General features: G+C 51.5%; 1 protein-coding gene across 1 annotated transcript in view, besides 2 other annotated features; it reads left to right on the top strand.

The window, feature by feature from the left end:
* The window catches only part of PADI6 (peptidyl arginine deiminase 6), a 29,504-nt gene continuing 14,503 nt past the window's right edge, over nucleotides 4,954–19,954 (top strand). Inside the window, exons 1-6 of the mRNA NM_207421.4 lie at nucleotides 4,954–5,119; nucleotides 5,814–5,991; nucleotides 8,185–8,257; nucleotides 12,678–12,745; nucleotides 13,805–13,922; nucleotides 14,725–14,850. Coding sequence (NP_997304.3) covers nucleotides 5,004–5,119; nucleotides 5,814–5,991; nucleotides 8,185–8,257; nucleotides 12,678–12,745; nucleotides 13,805–13,922; nucleotides 14,725–14,850 — 679 coding nt within the window. The 5' untranslated portion in view covers nucleotides 4,954–5,003. The remainder of the gene's footprint in view (nucleotides 5,120–5,813; nucleotides 5,992–8,184; nucleotides 8,258–12,677; nucleotides 12,746–13,804; nucleotides 13,923–14,724; nucleotides 14,851–19,954) is intronic.
* Nucleotides 9,948–10,449: an enhancer, noted in NCBI's record as "H3K4me1 hESC enhancer chr1:17703685-17704186 (GRCh37/hg19 assembly coordinates)". NCBI's record gives its function as "activates a minimal SCP1, AML or CMV promoter by ChIP-STARR-seq in primed H9 embryonic stem cells {active_cell/tissue: H9 hESC(primed)}" and the evidence as "EXISTENCE:reporter gene assay evidence [ECO:0000049][PMID:30033119]".
* Nucleotides 14,024–15,223: an enhancer, noted in NCBI's record as "CDK7 strongly-dependent group 2 enhancer chr1:17707761-17708960 (GRCh37/hg19 assembly coordinates)". NCBI's record gives its function as "activates an origin of replication core promoter dependent on BRD2, BRD4, P300/CBP, MED14 and CDK7 cofactors, with strong dependence on CDK7, by STARR-seq in HCT116 cells {active_cell/tissue: HCT116}" and the evidence as "EXISTENCE:reporter gene assay evidence [ECO:0000049][PMID:35650434]".

The raw sequence follows: 19,954 nt of genomic DNA on the forward strand, positions 1-19,954 counted from the left end.
TGCAAACAGACTCTTTCTTTGTTTCTATATGAGACAACCTACAGGTTCCGAAGATTAGGACCTGATCTCTCTTGGGTGCCATTATTCCACCTACTGTAGGTTGGAAATCACCACGTGCCAGCTGCAGCCAGCAGAATAGGAAAGAAATAAGCCAGGCACCTCCTTTCCTTTCCGCAGCTCTAAGCCTTGCACCTGCATCAAGCCCTCATAGGAAAGGGTGAACATTCCCCTTTACAAATCTGAGTCCTGAATTGAGAGTGTTTTATGTCTGGTTCCTGGAAACAGATTCTTAGATGGAGATTTGCCTGCAGGAGGTTTATGGGGGGTGCCGGGGGAGGGTGTTTCCGGAAGCGCACCTGGGAGGGAGTGTGGGGCTCAGAGGGGGACACTGAACTGGGATGCAGTTGCCTCAAGGCTTCAGGCAATGCACGGGGTATCTTGGGGGCTGGGGAAGGGCCTCAGAGTTGTCCTGCATTCAGACAAGGCAACCTGGCCTTTGTCCCCCCACATTGGATGTGGCTGTCCCCAGATGGGGACACAACCAGGTACTAGGCCGCTCCTAGGCACAGAAGGCAATTCCAGAAGAGAGACTTGCGGCACTCGCAGCAGCTGGGGGCGTGAGTGCCTCCCCCTAAAGGGGGGCGCGGTGGCACACCACAGCGCCCACCACAGTGACCTCAAGTGACCATGGGACTTCTGATGAGCAAACCTGAGTTGAGCATGATGAGCAAACCTGAGTTGCCGAGAGAGAACTTCTGCATGGAATAAGCATGTGAGGAGTGCGGGAGTCAATACAAAGTTACTTTATGATCATGTAACCCAAGCAGGTCCAGCCAATGCCAGTTGGAGAGCTCGAGCCCAAAAACAAGAGCAAAATGTGGTAGAAGGTGACTTTATTTACCAAAACTAGCAATGGGGGAGTGGTTGGATTCACATCAAAAGCAACCGCTTCGCCTTTCTGGGTTGAAGGCAAGAGTTTTAAAAGGGAAACTCTGGCTGGGCGCGGTGGCTCACACCTGTAATCCCAGCACTTTGAGAGGCCGAGGTGGGCGGATCACCTGAGGTCAGGAGTTTGAGACCAGCCTGACCAACATGGTGAAACCCCATCTCTACTAAAAATACAAAAATTAGCTGGGCGTGGTGGTGGACGCCTGTAATCCCAGCTACTTGGGAGGTTGAGGCAGGAGAATCGCTTGAACCTGGAAGACAGAGGTTGCGGTGAGCCGAGATGGTGCCATTGCACTCCATCCTAGGCAACAGAGCGAGACTCTGTCTCAAAAAAAAAAAAAAAAAAAAAAAAAGGAAATTTGGTACAGGAGGTGTGCAGGAGTTGTGAGGAGTACAAGGTCTGTGTCTTGTTTCCATGGCTAACTCGGGTCTCAGTCCCCCTAAAGCACGGGCTGACGTCATTTCAGCAATGTGCTGAGTTGTTGGCTAGCTGCCTGGAGGTAATCTCTTGAATTCTGCAGCTGGGTCTCCAGGCTCGGTCTGTCTCAAGATTAGCCCCTGGAACTTCTTTTATCATCATCATCATCATCATTTAGAGACAGGGTTTCGTTATGTTGCCCAGGCTGGTCTCAAACTCCTGGGCTCAAGGAATCCTTCCGTCTCAGCCTCCCAAAGCTCTGGGATTACAGGCGTGAGCCATCACACCTGGCCTGGAACTTGTAAGCAAGCATATAATTAGATACTAGCATACAGTTAGATAAATGTGAAGGGGCTTTATGGTGGGAAAGGGAGGGACATGGAGTCTATTTTAGGGTTAAGGGAAAAGGCTTCTGCAGTTTGCTTTAAGGTTACTTCTTGAGACTGAAGAGAAAGGGAAAAAAAGTTGTAAAATGCATTTGAAGTTAAGCTGCTCAGTTACAATCACTAACCCCTCGGTTCAGTGGAGACACCCCTGGAAGCCCATTGGGTTATTATCTTTATTTTATTCATTTATTTTTTTTTGAGATAGAATCTTGCTCTGTCGGCCAGGCTGGAGTACAGTGGCATTATCTCGGCTCGCTGCAAACTCCATCTCCCCAGCTCAAGCGATTCTCCTGCCTCAGCCTCCTGAGTAGCTGGGATTACAGGCGTGAGCCACCACACCTGGCTAATTTTTGTATTTTTAGTAGACGGGTTTCACCATGTTGACCAGGCTGATCTCAAACTCCGGACCTCAGGTGATCCACCTGCCTTGGCCTCCCAAAGTGCTGGGATTACAGGCCTGAGCCACCGTGCCCGGCTGGGTTATTATCTTCTTAGGGGGAGGACAAGGAGGTGATTTAGTCATTTGCTCCACAATAACTTGTTGAGTACCTACTATGTCTGGAGCTGTTTTGCAGGTGCTGGGGATTCAGTGGTGAATAAGAAGCCCCTGGAGGCGAGCAGGACGTGCTCTGGGTCTGAGTCACTTTCATCTCTGTCCACGAGGCTGGGTGAGGAGCCTTCCTCACTGTGCTCTGTAGAGCCCTGGCACAAGGCAGGGCTGCCCCAGGGTGGGGAACGTCAGAGCTTCCAGGCTGCCTTCCTCCAGACCCCAGAGCCTGGACTGGGCCTCAGCGACCCCTCCCCAGTCAACCCGTCTTCTCCCTCCAGCTGCCTCTGGCCGCTTGTGCGTGAGGGTGGGTGAGCCCTTTGGGATGAGTCTCATCAGAGCCTCTGCACGCTGAGTGCTTCCTGCCTGCTTAATTTTGCCACTTTCAATCCAACCAGAGGGGCATTTTGGGTCTTGCTGACCAACCCCCTGCCTCCAAGAGCAACTAAAACAGAGACATCCTTGAGAGTTGTGTTGAGTGCTTAAAACCTCCAGGGAGGGAATTTTTTACTGCAACTTGCAAATTTAGCCAGCCTGGCTGACCGAACAGGCTTCACTCAGTACCTCATCTCCACCTCCTATGCTGGGTACACCTGGGTGCATATTAGAGCAAAGGCTGAAAACAAATGTTTATATTACAGTACAACCCTATGTAAAATACACAGCTGTACAAAGGGGTAAGGCTGCTTTTTACGTACTGATACAAAGAACTTCTCTCCAGTATAACTATGAAGTGAAAGAGGCAAGGTATGGAATACTGGGTGGCACATACTACCGTTTATATAAGAAGACAGTAGTAGGAGGAGAGAAGAAAAGAGCAAAAGCGCCCCGGACATAGTAGGTGTTCAGCAATTCTAGTGGAGCAAATGACTAAATGACCTCCTTGTCCTTCCTCAAAAAAGATAACCCAATGGGCTTCCAGGGGCATCTCCACTGAACTGAAAAGTTTGTAATTGTAACCAAGCAGCTTAACTTTGAGCACATTTTACAACTTTTCTCTTTAGTCTCGAGATGTAACCTCGAAGGAACCTGCAGAAGCCTTTTTCCCTTAACCTTAAAATAGACTCCACGTCCTTCCCTTTCTCACCATAAAGCCCCTTCAAATTTATCTAACTGTATGCTAGTATTGGAGGAGGAAGAGAAGAAGAAAAGGATACACACACATATTTACTTGGTCATGCATAACATTTATTTGGAAAGACATATAAGAAACGGGTAACACTGTCACTACCTCCACCTGCAGGTGGGTAAGGCACAGGGCAGGAGGGAGACTCTGAACTTGGAATCATGTGACTGTGGTACCTATTCAGGAGTAAGCATGACCCAGCCTGGGCAACATAACAAGACCCCATCTCTGCGGAAAAATGTAAAACCATTAGCTGGGCATGGTGGTGCACATCTGTAGTCCCAGCTGCTCAGGAGGCTGAGGTGGGAAGACCACTTGAGCCTGGGAGGTCAAGGCTGTGAACCATGATCACGCCACTTCACTCCAGCCTGGGTAACGGAGTGAGACCCTGTCTCAAAAACAACAACAAAAAAAAACTCAACCCAAGCTTAAGACATGAAATGAACACAATTTTAAAGTCAGTTATGTAAGTTCCTTGTGCCAGAGAAGGGTTCCTATTTCTTTGCTCTGTGGGCTCCGCTGAGATGAGTAGCAGCTGATGACCCTGGCTTGATGTATTCATTCCACTAACACTTGCTGTGCCCCCACCCCCACCGACACAGCTGTAAGCAAAGAGCTCACCTTAATCACTGGGGGTTGGGATGCAGGTTCCTGGACCACACCCTAGACCTTCTGGGCCCAGGAATTTGCAATGTTAACAAGCACCCTTGATAATTTTTGAAACCACCAGAGGGTTAATAACCACCTAGTCTAGGCAGGCGCTGTGGCTCACGCCTGTAATCCCAGCACTTTGGCAGGTCGAGATAGGAGGATTTCTGGGATCAAGAAGTTCGAGACTAGCCTGGGCAACATGGCAAAACCCGGTCTCTACAAAAAATACAAAAATCAGCTGGACATGGTGGTGCACACCTGTAGTCCCAGCTACTTGGGAGGCTGAGATGGATCACTGGAGCCAGGTAGGTTGAGGCTGCAGTGAGCTATGATTGCGCCACTGCACTCTAGCATGGGTAGAGACCCTGTCTCAAAAACAAAACCAAACCACCAGTCCAGCACTTTGCCGAGCTCCTTCGTCAATTTCCAGGAGACACACACCCTAGAACTGAGACCCCAGAGCCTGGGCATGCTGCCACACATTGCCATCCTGACTGCTACCATCAACTCCTCCCAACTGCCCTCTGCAGGTATTTGCCCCGACAGCTTCCAGCTGAGTCCTCCAGCAACATGGCCAAGTTGATCACTCCAAGGCACCGACTTCCCAGAGCCCCTCCTCTTCCCAGCTGAAGGCCACAGATGCCTAAGCAACCGGCCTCAGACTCCCCTGGCCTGCAGCTCTGCAGGCACGAGGTGCCTGATAAATTGGTGATGAAGGGGTTCTGATGCCACCTGCTCCCCAGACTATCAGCCACCAGGAAGCTCTTAGAGGGAAAATCAGTGACACCTGGGCAGCTGCTGACCCCTCCCCTTCTTAACAAGGGGGTGGCCTGCACAGGCCTGGACTGTATAACAGGGAAGGGCAGGGTGAGCCCTGGGGCGTCTGAGGCTGCTGTGCTGAGTGAGGGCTGCGGTGCAGGCCTGAGGATGGTCAGCGTGGAGGGCCGAGCCATGTCCTTCCAGAGTATCATCCACCTGTCCCTGGACAGCCCTGTCCATGCCGTTTGTGTGTTGGGCACAGAAATCTGCTTGGATCTCAGCGGGTGAGATGCTGGGAGCTCTGCCAGAGGTGGCAGGCAGACAGGCAGGCAGGCCTGGGACCCAGTCCCCTTGATCTGGGAGTTGGGGGTTACTTCTCTAGCCTCACTATCCTGCCCCATCTTGGGAAGCCTTGGGTCTCTAGTGGGGGGCCTCCCAGTTCCAACCACGCAGAATTCTGACTTAAATCCTGCCTCTGCCCTGTAGCAGCTGCCATGGACTCTTAGTGAGGCAAGGGCCTTGGCCTCTCTGTTCCCCTATCTGTGAAACCATGGGGACGCTGGCCTCGGGGGGCTGTGAGGAGCAGGCCAGGGAGACTGCTAGATGCTGGAGCCTGCAGGTGGAGGTGACTCAGCAGGGTCACAGTACAACTTCCTGAGTCGCTTGCCCTGATCTTTTTCTTTATGGGGATCCTTTGTGGCTCCCCCCTTCTTGGGAATTGGGTGCTTATTACTAAGATGTAGCTGTGGTAACTTCTGCAGTGTCGGTAGCGGGATGGGGTTTGGGCTGGAGCCCGTCGGAGAGCAAACACAGGGGTCCTTTGGGAGGGGGTGGGTAGGAATAAGGACCCCAGACCACTCTGCCTCAACACCCTAAGGAGAATGAGGATTCGGGAGCCGTCCCCTCCCCCATGCCAGTCATCTCCTAGGCTGAGAAGGTGTTTGTGCCCTGACGCGTGTCTCTTACCGGGCAAACCAGGTGTGCCCCCCAGAAGTGCCAGTGCTTCACCATCCATGGCTCTGGGAGGGTCTTGATCGATGTGGCCAACACGGTGATTTCTGAGAAGGAGGACGCCACCATCTGGTGGCCCCTGTCTGATCCCACGTACGCCACAGTGAAGATGACATCGCCCAGCCCTTCCGTGGATGCGGATAAGGTAAGCCTCAGGGGAAGAGGTGAGGGGCATCTCCCGGGGTGGGACCTAGCACAGCCACTGGGGCTTCCTCCTGGCTGCAGACGTGACTCGAGCCTGGGAAACACGTTGTTTTGCACGTCTGATCTCATCCAGTGTCTGCAACAGACCAGTGGTGTGGGCACTCCATGACCCCATTTTACAAAGAAACAGAGGCACCTAGCGAAGGTGCCCTGCCAAGTCAGCAACCAGCAGGACTGGGATTTATTTTTTATTTTCATTTATTTATTATTATTTTTTTTTTTGAGTCTCACGCTCATTGCCCAGACTGGGGTGCAATGGCACAATCTCAGCTCACTGCAACCTCCACTTCCCGGGTTCAAGCAATTCTCCTGCCTCAGCTTCCCGAGTAGCTGGGACTACAGGCACCCACCACCATGCCCGGCTAATTTTGTATTTTTAGTATGAGACAGGGTTTCACTATGTTGGCCAGGCTGGTCTCAAACTCCTGACTTCAAGTGATCTACCTGCCTCCACCTCCCAAAGTGCTGGGATTACAGGCATGAGCCACCACACCTGGCCTACCATCACTTTACATATGAGGAAACTAAGGCACAGAGTGCTGTGTCTAAACCTAAGTAGCCTACCTAGAGTGGGATAGACCCAGGATTTGAGCTTGAGCCCAAGGGTGTATTCTCCCCTGGGTAAGCTGTCTCCCTAATGGGGTGCCTATGTTGGGGAGGTTCTCCTGTGGTAGAAGCAGGTGGCTCATTCAGGGCAGGAGTGTTCAACCTTGGTTGCAGGTGAGAACCACTGGGGAGCTAATAACATCAATACCCAGGCCACACCCCCTCTACCAATTAAACCTGAGGTACCAATGGAACCTCAGGGCTAGGATCCTGGCCGCTGGTTTAAAGCTCTCCAGGTGCACCCAGTGCGGGGCTGGGGGTGAGAACCATGATGGAGCAGTTCAGGACTGGGAGAGCTCTCCCTCCCTCCCCCCACACCCTACAGGACCTACTGGAGATGTCTGCTGCAGAGGGGTAGGTACACACACCCACCTGCGCTGTGTGCCCAGGGCAGGCAACTCCCTGAGAGGCAAGTAGTGGACTTAGGTAGGAACTGAGTGTCTCTGGCCAGGTGTGGTGGCTCATGCCTGTAATCCCAGCACTTTGGAAGGCTGAGATGGGCAGATCACCTGAGGTCGGGAGTTTGAGACCAGCCTGGCCAACATGGTGAAACGCTGTCTCTACTAAAAATACAAAAATTAGCCAGGTGTGGTGGCAGGTGCCTGTAATCTCAGGTTCTCAGGAGGCTGAGGCTGGAGAATCGCTTGAACCCAGGAGGTGGAGGTTGTAGTAAGCTGAGATTGTCCCACTGCATTACAGCCTGGGCAACAAGAACAAAACTCCATCGCAAAAAAAGGTATCTCAGATAAGAATGGAGGCCACGGTGGGTGCCAGTGGAACTCCAGACTACCTGAGAACCATTCTCTGCCCAGGGCTCGGCCTCCAGGACCCTCAGGAGTGGCCAACAAAGAACCTTGAACTTAGAGGACTAAAGCTTCTATTTAAGGATGGGGTGGATCTGTCACATGCTCTGGCCAATGGTTGGGTCTCTGGTTCATGACCAAGACCTTGTGGTCAGGGTCAGTGGCTGGAGGGCAGGTCTCTTTCTAAAAGCATAAAGTAGAGGCTGGTGTGGGACACAGTCCCACAGTTGGGACTGAGTCCCAACGCTGCTTCTTCACCTGGGTGTCCTTCTTAGTGAGCAGCTTAAGCCACCAGAGGCCTGTTTCCCCACCGTGCACCTTATGGAGTAGGACATGGGACCCCAGGAGAGTGGGTTTAGCAGGGAGGATGTATAGTGTGGTTTCAAGCTTGGGCTCTAGAGCCAGGCAGCCTGTTTCTTAAATCCCTTTGGGATAAGTCCCTTGATCACCCCGCCATCAGGGATACAGCTCTCACGTGGACAGGTGGTTTCAAGCCTGGCTCTCGACAAGGTTAGGGTTGGGGGTCATGGCAGGTTCTAAGTCCTTAGGGGACTGACTCAGCCCTAAGCGCAGGGCTGTGGCCCCATACCAGCTCATAGGTGAGACTTCAGAAGCCATAACACAAGACCAAGATCCCACGCCTAGACTCGGCACATGGCCTGGGGCTCTGTTCCTGGCACCTCCCGTCCAACACTGCCTATGGTTTCGGGATGCTGTCTCCACAGGTCTCGGTCACATACTATGGGCCCAACGAGGATGCCCCCGTGGGCACAGCTGTGCTGTACCTCACTGGCATTGGTGAGTGTTGCTCCAACTGGGAGCCTGGGGCCCAACTCACCGCTGGGGTTGGGGAAGGGGTGGGATTGTAGGAGGAGCCAAAAAAGATTCTCCAGGTAACAAGATGCCTCCTGTGGGCCCCAGGAACTCCTGAACAAACTCCTAAATGGATTCATTTGAGATACCCACTCACACACTCCCTCCTCGACGCTCAGTCACTTCTCCATCTTCGTGCACTGCCAACCTAATTCTGAGAATAGAAACAGCCAGAACTTCCGTGTCGCTGCCATCTACCCACCTACGCCTGTCTAGTGCCTACCTTCTTCCTTTGTTACTAATTGACGCATCTGGTCCAAAGTTAGTCTTTCTTGTCTCACTAGATCCTTTCTTATTCAAGAACATTCCTTTGTCAATTCTTACCAATGTAAGAAGCCGCCACCCTTCCCCGCCCTCTAGATCACCCCCATCAGCTCAGGAACAAGCTCTATAACATCTACTTTTTTTTTCTTTTTTTTCTGAGATGAGTCTTACTGTCACTCAGGCTGGAGTACAGTGGCATGATCTCGGCTCACTGTAACCTCTGCCTCCCAGGTTCAAGTGATTCTCCTACCTCAGCCTCCAGATTAGCTGGGACTATAGGTGTGTGCCACCATGCCTGGCTAATTTTTATATTTTTAGTAGAGACAGGTTTTCACCATGTTGGCCAGGCTGGTCTCGAACTCCTGACCTCGCGATCCACCTGCCTCGGCCTCCCCAAGTGCTGGGATTACAAGCGTGAGCCACTGTGCCTGGCCATATCATCTCTCTTAAACCTGATTCTAGGGTGTTTGTTTTTGTTTGAGATGGAGTCTTGCTCTGTTGCCCAGGCTGGAGTGCAGTGGCGCGATCTTGGCTCACTGCCCATTCCACCTCCCAGGTTCACACCATTCTCCTGCCTCAGCCTCCCGAGTAGCTGGGACTATAGGTACCCGCCACCATGCCCGGCTAATTTTTTTTTATTTTTAGTGGGCTAATTTTTTTTATTTTTAGTGGGCTAATTTTTTTTATTTTTAGTGGGCTATTTTTTTTGTATTTTTAGTGGGCTAATTTTTTTGTATTTTTAGTGGAGACGGGATTTCACTGTGTTGGCCAGGCTGGTCTCAATCTCCTGACCTCGTGATCCGCCCACCTCAGCCTCCCAGAGTGTTGGGATTACAGGCGTGAGCCACTGTGCTGGGCCTAGGTTGTCTTTTAAAGTCTATTCTCCCACCTCTCTTCCTGAGGAGCCATCTGTGTCCTCAATTTCTCTAGAATCTTCTCAAATTAGACACCTACCACCAACGGAGTTCTTTTAGAACTCTAACATCTACAACACTAAGTTTTTGGTTTGTGTGGGTTCTTTTGTGTTTTTGTTTTGTTTTGTTTTGTCTTGTTTTTTGTTTTTGAGACAGTCTCACTCTGTAGCCTAAGCTGAACTGGAGTGAAGAGACACGATCATGGCTCATTGCAGCCTCAAACGATCCTCTCACCTCAGCCTCTCCAGTAGCTTGGACCATAGGTGTTATACCACCATACTTGGTTAATTTTTTATACAGACATAGGTATCCCTATGTTGCCCAGGCTCCTCCCACCTCAATCTCCAGAGTGGCTGGGACTACAGGCACGCACCACCATGCCCAGCTGACTTTATTTTTTTATTTTATTTTTTCCCCCATAGAGAGGGTTTTACCATATTGCCCAGCCTGGTCTCAAACTCCTGGCCTCAAGTGATCCTCCCGCCTCAGCCTCCCAAAGTGCTGGAGTTACAGGCATGAGCCACGTACCTGCTGGTCAATCCCCTCTTAACACACTTGAACGCTTCAGGGATGTTCAACTTATTTTTCCTCCTGCCTGTTCCTTCTCAGAACCCTTTGGAGCTCAGAGGAGCTCTTCTCAGTCCTTTGTCCCGCTGCTTCCAGTCAGTGAAGTGTCTCAGGCTCAGGAGGCAGGTCACGTGACTCTAATGTCACCTATGGGCAGGCTGCTCCCACAAACCCGACTTGGATATTGCCTACCCAGCATGATCGCTTCGGTGTCTGACAGATGTCTGAAATGCAAATGGATTCTCTCTACTCCTGAAAACCTGTTTTTCTAGTAGTCCCTCCATCACAGTAGGCGGTAGCTCCATCCTTCTAGTGTAAACCTTGGCATCACCTGATTCTTCTTACCCCACAGCAGTCTGAATCTTGTGTTACCTGACGTTTCGCCAGAATCCAGCAACTCGCACTCCCAGTGTGTTCACTCCGGCTCGAGCCCCCATCCTCTCACCTGGGTCACAGCCCAGACCTCCCAGTGGGGTTCATGCTGGCACTCTTGCCCTTCTGACTAAGACCTCTAGCCTTGATCCAGCAGCCAGAGTGGTACATCTTTAAGTGGAATATTGGAATAACGCCTTCCAACTGCTTCCACGTTGCTTGGATTAAAGCCAAAGTCGCTGCCCACGAAACTACACGAGTAACCCTGCACTGCCTCTGTCTTTACCGCTTGTGAATCTTCCCCCTGGGTCATCCTGCTGCTTCTGCTGTGGGTCCTGTTGGCCACTCTAACCCTTGGCCTTGCTGCCTTGGGCTTCCTATTTCCCCTAATGGCTCTTACCCTAGATGTTAACCCAGATTTTCTTGCCTCCTTTAGGTCTCTTTTCAAATGTAAACTTGGGCTCCCTTGATCATCTAAAACTGAAATACCCTCGCTCCATTCCTTCTCCCATATCCCTCAGTGCTTATTGCTATCAAACATGATGTACCTGCTTGCCCCACCCCTGGTGTACACATATGTGCTCATGTAAGCTCTAAGGAGATGAGGTCTCCGTCTTGCACGCTGCTAGATCCCTAGGACCTGGGGCAGCCCAGTTCGCAGTGGGCATCTGGTCCCTGAGCATCTGCTGGTCAGGTGCTGATGATGTAACAGCAAACAAGTCCTGCGTTCGTGGCCCTGATATTCCAGTTGGGAATCAGCATGTCAAATAATGAGCTGTGAACAAAAGACCACACTGGAGCGACGTGGTTGTCCCTTGTGTGGTGGAAGGGATGGGAGGTGGTATGCTAAGGAGGCGGGACAGTCCCTATGACAGTACCTGGGCAAAAGCCTAGATCCTTAAGTGTGTTTTTTTGTTTGTTTTTGTTTTTTGAGATGGAGCATTACTCTGTCACCCAGGCTGGAGTGGAGTGGTGCGATCTCTGCTCACTGCAATCTCCACCTCCTGGGTTCAAGTGATTCTCCTGCCTTAGCCTCCTGAGTAGCTGGAACTACAAGCACCTGCCACCACACCGGGCTAATTTTTGTATTTTTCATAGAGACAAGGTTTTGCCATGTTGCTCAGTCTGGTCTTGAACTCCTGACCTCAGGTGATCTGCCTGCCTCAGCCTCCCAAAGTGCTGGGGTTACAGGCATGAGCCACCATGCCCAGCTAATCCTTAAGTTTTAAAGGGGCTTAGAATTGTCATGTATTGAATTTTTTTTGGGGGGGGGGACAGAATCTTGCTCTGTCACCCAGGCTAGAGTGCAGTGGTCTGATCTCAGCTCACTGCAACCTCCACCTTCCCAGCTCAAGTGACACTCCTGCCTTGGCTTCCCAAGAGGCTGGGACTACAGGTACCCTCCACCATGCCCAGTTAATTTTTTTTTTTTTTTTTTTTTAAGACGGAGTCTCGCTGTCGCCCAGGCTGGAGTGCAGTGGCGCAATCTCGGCTCACTGCAGGCTCCGCCCCCTGGGGTTCACGCCATTCTCCTGCCTCAGCCTCCCGAGAAGCTGGGACTACAGGCGCCCGCCACCTCGCCCGGCTAATTTTTTTGTATTTTTAGTAGAGACGGGGTTTCACCGTGTTAGCCAGGATGGTCTCGATCTCCTGACCTCGTGATCCGCCCGCCTCGGCCTCCCAAAGTGCTGGGATTACAGGCGTGAGCCATCGCGCCCGGCCGCCCAGTTAATTTTTGTATCTTTAGTAGAGATGCGATTTCACCATGTTGCCCAGGCTAGTCTCCAACTCCTGACCTTAAGTGATCCATCCACCTCAGTCTCCCAGTGTTGGGATTATAGGAGTGAGCCACTGTGCCCGGCCATATTAAGCCTTTCCTATGTCTTGGAGCATAAAGCTTTCCAGAAGACTAGAGAGGTAGACTTTGCAAGTAAGAATCACTTGGGTAGAGGCTGAAAGGCATGAGATGGCATGAGAGGACCATGATGGGCTTGTTTTGTGAGTTCCTGGGAGGTTTGGGGTAGACATTTGACTACTTGGGCCTCTCCAGGCTTGCTGATATGAAGCTGTCACCTTTGAGAATGGTTTCTGCTTCTAAGCTGATAGCATGCCAGAAAGGCTAGATGCCCTGATGCCAGCCTTGGGCAGCCCCACAGGAGATAACCTATAACTTTGAGGTTCCATCTGGCAGGTCAAGGTGGCTGGGACACCCTTTTCTTCTGTTTCAGAGGTCTCTCTAGAGGTAGACATCTACCGCAATGGGCAAGTTGAGATGTCAAGTGACAAACAGGCTAAGGTGAGTCTGCCAGCAAAAGGGGGCAGGGAAGGGGCCCTATAAGCCAAATCTGCCCACAGGCTCACTTGATCTGACCTTCCTCGTGTCTAGCCCAATTGCTGTGACATTGCTGAAGGATTAGATACGTGGAGGGGAGGGGTAAACCAAACTGTCACGGTACAAGTCAGAGCTGATTAAATTCCTTTTCTTTTGTGGGGTATTTTTTTGTTTTTTTTTGTTTGTTTGTTTTTGATGTTGTTTTTGATGGAGTTTCCCTCTGTTACCCAGGCTGGAGTGCAGTGGCATGATCTTAGCTCACTGTAATCTCCACCTCCCAGGTTCAAGTAATTCTCCTGCCTCAGCCTCCTGAGCAGCTGGGGTTACAAGCGTGTGCCACCACACCTGGCTAATTTTTTTTTGAGACGGAGTCTCGCTCTGTTGCCCAGGCTGGAGTGCAGTGGCACGATCTCAGCTCACTGCAAGCTCCATCTCCCAGGTTCACGCCATTCTCCTGCCTCAGCCTGCCGAGTAGCTGGGACTCTAGGTGCCTGCCACCATGCCTGGCTAGTTTTTTTTGTATTTTTAGTAGAGACGAGGTTTCACTGTGTTAGCCAGGATGGTCTCGAAATCCTGATCTCCAGTGGTCCACCTGCCTCGGCCTCCCGAAGTACTGGGATCAGAACTGATTAAATTTCTAGCTCACTAAAAAAAAAACCAGAATGTCTGGCAACTCTAGGCTCATGTCCTACCCTGGTTGTGGAGTCTCCTAGATGAGAGGATTAGCCGCTGCTGCCAGGTGGCACGTCTCTTTTCCAATTTGCCTCGGTCCCTGATTCTCTGACTCTGAAATATGAGGTAAGTAACTGGTAACCCCGAACCTAGCTTCTTTCCCTTCCTCTTAGCCTCCTTACCTGACATGACCTTCCTGTGCCTACAGATTCTTGACCTCACCAGTCCTGTTCCATGGGTCCCTGTACCCTGGAGAAAGGCTTGGCTGGGCCCCTCTGCTATGAGGTGCATCCGAGAAACAGAAGATTTATTTGGCTCCTTCCTGAGCCAATGTTCCCATCTCATTTGCAGAAAAAATGGATCTGGGGTCCCAGCGGTTGGGGTGCCATCCTGCTTGTGAATTGCAACCCTGCTGATGTGGGCCAGCAACTTGAGGACAAGAAAACCAAGAAAGTGATCTTTTCAGAGGGTAGGACCTCAGACTGTCTCTGCCTTTCCTTCTTGGTCTCTTTGCTGCCCTGCTTCTCAGCAAATGGATTCCAGACTAATTTTCTCCACCCCACCCCCGACACCCTCTTCCCCAGTCCCCATGCCTGGGCTGATCAAACCTTTTGTCCTGAGTTGTAGATGTATAATTGGGTAAGAGAAGTCACATAGCCCCATGCAAAGAGCATGGGTGGTTACTTGTTTCCTAGCTGTGAACTTGAGCACACTAACTTCCCTGATCTTGTTTCCCTATTTGTAAAATGGGGATGATGCAGTTGGCCTCCCAACTATATCAGTTGGTTGACAAGACTAAATGAAGACAATAGGGGTATATGCGCTGCTTTCTAAAAAGCCTCTCATAGTCTGGGCCAGGAACCTTGGACTGTCTTGGGTAAAATTCGCCTTGGATCCTGACTTGCGGTTGGGACCAGGGTTCTGGGTCTTAGCAGTAGAATGGAATGTCTTGTTTCCTACTGAGACTGGAAACAAGACTGGAAACAAGGTGAACCTTCACTGAACTGATCGAGGTAGGCCCTGTTCTGTTTGTGGGGGACCATGGGATAAATCCCATCCTCCCTCAAAAGGAGGCCCTGAGGTTTGCAGCTTGCCTGTAGCCACCTAGAACAAGCAGTGAAATGGTAATTCTTCGGGCCTGGGCCCTAGCAAAAGGCAGGGGGTCCTTGGTGCTCTGTTCAAACTCCCGGCCCCTCTCTACTGCTCTTCCCTCCACCCCCAGAGTGCTGGCCTCCAGACATTCCTTAACCTTTGCTTTGTCTTTTGCCCAGAAATAACGAATCTGTCCCAGATGACTCTGAATGTCCAAGGCCCCAGCTGTATCTTAAAGAAATATCGGCTAGTCCTCCATACCTCCAAGGAAGAGTCGAAGAAGGCGAGAGTCTACTGGCCCCAAAGTGAGTGTTCTTGTGCCAGCTCCAGCTTTGCCTGCTCTCGACGTGCCAGGCAAGTTGTGCCCACACCTCCTCCCAGCAAGGTCCCCAGCAGAAGCCTGCTGGAGACCTAGAGCTGCAGATGAGAGGCTGTTGTGGCTGTACTTGTGTTTCCAGGATTCTCTGGCTGCCACCTTCCCCATAGGCTAAATCTGTACACATGGGTGAGTTATTGCACCTCTAAGCCACTTTCTCCACTTGTAAAATGGGGGTAGCTGTGCCTTCCCTGCAGGCTAGAAGAGAAGAGAGACATATCCACTGAAACAGTAGCTATTGCCTTACACAGAGTAGATCACATCTCCCAGTGACTCCTCTCAGGAGAATCCATCTTCACTCTAAACCAATGATCCACTATGTTAAATTTCCAGAAATCTGAGGCCAAAACCTCTAGAGCGGCAGCCACGGTAGCACCTGCATCCCAGCCACCACGCCATCCACCACCCATCTTCAGCCCTCCTCTCCTGGGAGGCAGGTAGCATACTCTATTCTATAGATGGAGGGCTGGTTAGGAGGTACACATGCCCAACTCCAGCAAAACAGCCTTGCACATCTTTTGACTTCCCTGAACTGGCTCAGGACTTGGCGTACCTCTAAATCTCTCATTGAGAGCTAGCTCTGCTTCTGGACGGACATGCCAGCATGCTTTCTTTGGGTTTTGTTTTGTTTTTCCCCTTTGAGTCAAGGTCTAGCTCTGTCACCCAGGCTGGAGTGCAGTAGTGTGATCACAGCTCACTGTAGACTAGACTCAGCTTCCTGGACTCAAGCAGTCCTCCTACCTCACACTCCCAAGGAGCTGGTATGACAGGTGTGTGCCACAACTGGCTAATTTGCTTTTCTTGTAGAGACGGGGTCTCACTTTGCCCAGACTGGTTTCAAACTCCCGGATGCAAACAATCCTCCTGCCTTGGCTTCCCAAAGTGCTGGGATTACAGGTGTGAGCTACTGCACCCGGCCCAACCTGCCACCTTGTCTTGTAAACCATGCTTAGCTTCAGCTACGCAACGCAGGGAGCTCTGTGGTCTATACTGTGCCTCTTCTCAGAGGGCACCATCTTTGTTGCCAGCATTGGAGAGTGTGCCCCTGCCACTTCCTGGTCTACACTCTGGGGCCTTGGCTCAGTCTCCTACTCCATCTCTTCTGCAGACCATAGATCTCAGCTGGATTTCAAAGTAGCCTGGGATTAGCCAGAAAAGGTAGCCCAGCTTGGACGTGGCCATCTTACACATGAGCTAGAGTGAGCCGAAGAAACCCAGGGGTCTAGGTCTGGTTCAGGCCACAAGGGCTACTCTGGCCCTGGGAGGCTACCAGTGCTGAAGTAGGTGGATTAGGCCAGGCAGGCCTTGGAGTCCGCCGGTTCATGTAGCTTGCTAAGGATGCCATACTTCATCATGTGGATCATAGCGAACTACCGGTTTCTTTATTGAAAAAGCTTATTCAGGCTGGGCGTGGTGGCTCATGCCTCTAATCCCAACATTTTGGGAGGCTGAGGCAGATGGATCACCTGAGGTCAGGAGTTCGAGAACAGCCTGGCCAACATGGCGAAACCCTGTCTCTACTAAAAATACAAAAATTGGCATGGTGGCGGGCATGCCCGCCAGCTACTCAGGAGGCTGAGGCAGGAGAATTGCTTGAACCCGAAAGGCAGAGGTTGCAGTGAGCCGAGATCATGCCACTGTACTCCAGCCTGAGTGAGACTCAAAAAAATAATTTTTTTAAAAAAACTTATTCAACAATCTAGGGGCTGAGCACGGGGCTTATGCCTATAATCCCAACACTTCGGGAGGCCAAGGCAGGCGGATCACCTGAGGTCAGGAGTTCGAGACCAGCCCGGCCAACATGGCAAAACCACATCTCTACTAAAAAATACAAAAGCTAGCTGGGCTTTGTGGCATATACCTATAATCCCAACTACTCAGGAGACCAAGGCAGGAGTGAACCTGGGAGGCAGAGGCTGCAGTGAGCCGACGTTGCACCACTGCACTCCAGCCTAGGTGACAGAGTGGGACTCTGTCTCAAAAAAAAAAACTTAAAAATCAGGGTAGGGCAACACAGCATGTTATGTTTTAACAAGCCTTCCAGGTGACTCTGAAACATGCTAAAGCTTGAACCACAAAAAGATACAGCAAAAGAGTCTGAAAAGTTTACAGAGGAATAGAAAGCCAGAATACAGGGTTCTAGAAACAGGCTGGGTGTGTTGGCTCACACCTGTAATCCCAGCACTTTGGGAGGCCAAGGCAGGAGGCTTACTTGGGCACAGGAGTTCAAGACCAGCCTTGGCAACACAGTGAGACCTTGACTCTGAGATAAGATTATTTTTATAAAGAAGCCTGGCCAGGCGTGGTGGTTCATGCCTTAATCCCAGCACTTTGAGTAGACCAAGACTGGTGGATCACTTTTGAGGTCAGGAGTTTGAGACCAGCCTGGCCAACATGGTTAAAACCATCTGCTAAAAATACCAAAATTAGCTAGGTGTGGTGGCTTTAGCTTGTAATCCTAGCTACTCAGGAGACTGAGGCGGGAGGATCATGTGAACCCGGGAGGCAGAGGCTGCAGTGAGCCGACATTGCACCACTGCACTCCAGTCTGGGCAAAGTAAGGCAGTGGCCAACCCTGGCAAATGCTGTGGGATAGACTAAGATGCCCAAGCCCATAGTAAAGTCACAATCCTCAGAATGGCAGTCATCAGTGACCCTGATAATAACAGTGAAAAGCCAGGTTGAAATGGGGAGGCACAGTAAATCTAGGCCACAGAAAGAATTCTCTCTCCGTAAAGGGAGATGTGTGGTGGTAATTACAGGGGCCAGCACGCAGTCGAGCGTGTCTGAAGCTGGTAGTACACGGGCAGATGTATAGATGGAACTGATCCAACAGGGGTGGGGAAATGGATCCTAGAGGAAGATCTGAGAAGTTTGCAGAGGAATAGAAAGCCAGAAGACAAGGTTCTAAACAGGCTGGGCGTGGTGGCTCACACCTGTAATCCCAGCACTTTGGGAGGCCAAGGCAGGAGGATCACCTTTAGGACTATGGAATACAGGTGAGTCTGTGGACAGGAATGAGACGATAGTGTTTGAGTAGTGTTGGTGGCTTGCTCTGAGGTCTGGTCGTAGCCTGAAATGAGGCCTTTTGGTGTGATGGTTTTCTCCAGCATCTCAGGTGCAAGAGTGAGCTTTAAAGACCTGGTGTGACCAGAATGGAGGTTTTCCAGGAAAGCAAACTAGAAAAAGGTGTGGGAGTGGACAGTGTGTATAAGAGAGGATGTAGTGATGGGTTTTTGGGCTCTGAGAAGGGTCAAAGGGAAGTGTGAGGATGGAGGGTGGGGATCGGTAGGAGGATCTGGGACTGAGGTTGGGGACTCGCTGGGGTGGGAGCATAGGTGAGCGAAACAGATCGGAAGGCATTGTCTGCCTTGGAGGTGGCATCTAGTCTGGGTTATGATCATTGTAATGGATGTCTAAGGTGGTATAGAACCCAGGTTCATTGAAATAAGGTCGTCGAAGAGAGATCAAAATGTCTAGATGTTCTAGTCTATTGTCAGATACCAGTGACACAACAGCAGTGGAGGGCAAGTATGCTAGAACAATCCACGAAGGATGGAGAGGATGACATCGTCGTCCCCAAAAGAAAGGGGTAGCTGGCATTATCTGATGGCCAGCACTTCACAGGAACTGGGATTCTTGAGGAATAGAGAAATGGCCGAGAAGTGCCAGTGAAGAACCAAGAAGGGTACCCACCTTCCTGTAAGTCCAGCAGTACATGGCAGGTAGGAAAAAGCTCAGCTCAAATCATCAGTATTTGCTCTGTGCCCTGAGGATCCAGCTCTGGAAGAATAAACCATGTTACCTGCTCTCAGAGCCTGCTACGACAGATGGACAGACAGTCGAGGACCCAGCAGAGGCTGGAGGGAGCCCTTTAATATGCCCCCAGGGTGGGTAGGGAGAGTTTGAGGTAGCTAAGGCCTCCTGGGCAGCTCTGTGAGGACTGAGGGCAGGGAGGGCCTTCCAGGTAGAGGCAGCTATTGTGTGTACTTGGGTCGCAGGGCTTCTGGCCTCCCCCATGCTTCTGTTTAATGGGGACAACAAATGCCTGCTTCAAAGGGTCCTGAGGATGTGAGCCCATGAGCCTGAAACACCTACCACAGCTCCTAGCAAAGATAGCCCACAGTGAAATGTTAGCTATGCTTCACAACAAACTATCTGTGAGAGGGGCCCCCAGAAGGTCAACCACAGGAGAGCCAGCCAGTAGGGGATTGTGGCAAACAGACTGTGACCCTCTCGCCCTCACTGCCTGGTGGTGAATCACCCTTGGGTGGAATGGCCACAGGGAGCCCAGGTCCCCAGAACAGGAGCAGGCCCTAGGTGTGTGGCACCTCTTGGGCTGCATGCCGTGGGCCTGCTGATGCTATCGCAGGTCAAGAGGGCTGTGTCTGCACTGGGAAGTTGCAGGGGTTCCTGGGGGAAGACTGCCTTGTCTGGTCTTGCCCCATGAGGCCTGGCTCAGGGCTGGTGAAGCATCTAGGTAGATGAGAAGCAGGAACTAGCACAGGAGTGGTCCCGGTGGGCCCAGTTCCCTCACAGCCAGCAGCAGGACTGAGGCTGGGCCTGTAACCAGCATCCCCAGGGCCTCCAAGGAGGGGCTGCTGCAGAACTGCAGAGTCCATCGGGAGGGCTGCTGGGGCTCTAACCCAGAGCAAGAGGCCGAGGACCCAGGGCAGTGCCTAACCAGGGGCAGCCACGGCCGCAGCTGCAGCCATCTGCTGGCACGTTGGAGGAGCTGGAGATGGAGGCAGCTGGCAGTGCCGTGCAGAAGGTCTGAGGATGCTACAGTTCCTGGATCTCTTGGGGTTCTAGTGGCCAAGGTAAATCTAGCTTAGGATCCCCTGAAATAAGTCACCTGGAATCTTGAGCAGGAACAGCCATCAGGCCTACAGCTGCCACATCGGGCACAGATAGAGGACAGGCCAGGAAAGAGGAAGTTCGAGTGACCCAGGTGGGAGAAGTCAGGGTCATTTCTGACCTAGAAAATGAATGGACTTGGGCTGGGCACAGTGGCTCACGACTGTAATCCTAGC

Source organism: Homo sapiens, chromosome 1 (assembly GCF_000001405.40).
Source record: "Homo sapiens chromosome 1, GRCh38.p14 Primary Assembly".
NCBI lineage: Eukaryota > Metazoa > Chordata > Mammalia > Primates > Hominidae > Homo > Homo sapiens.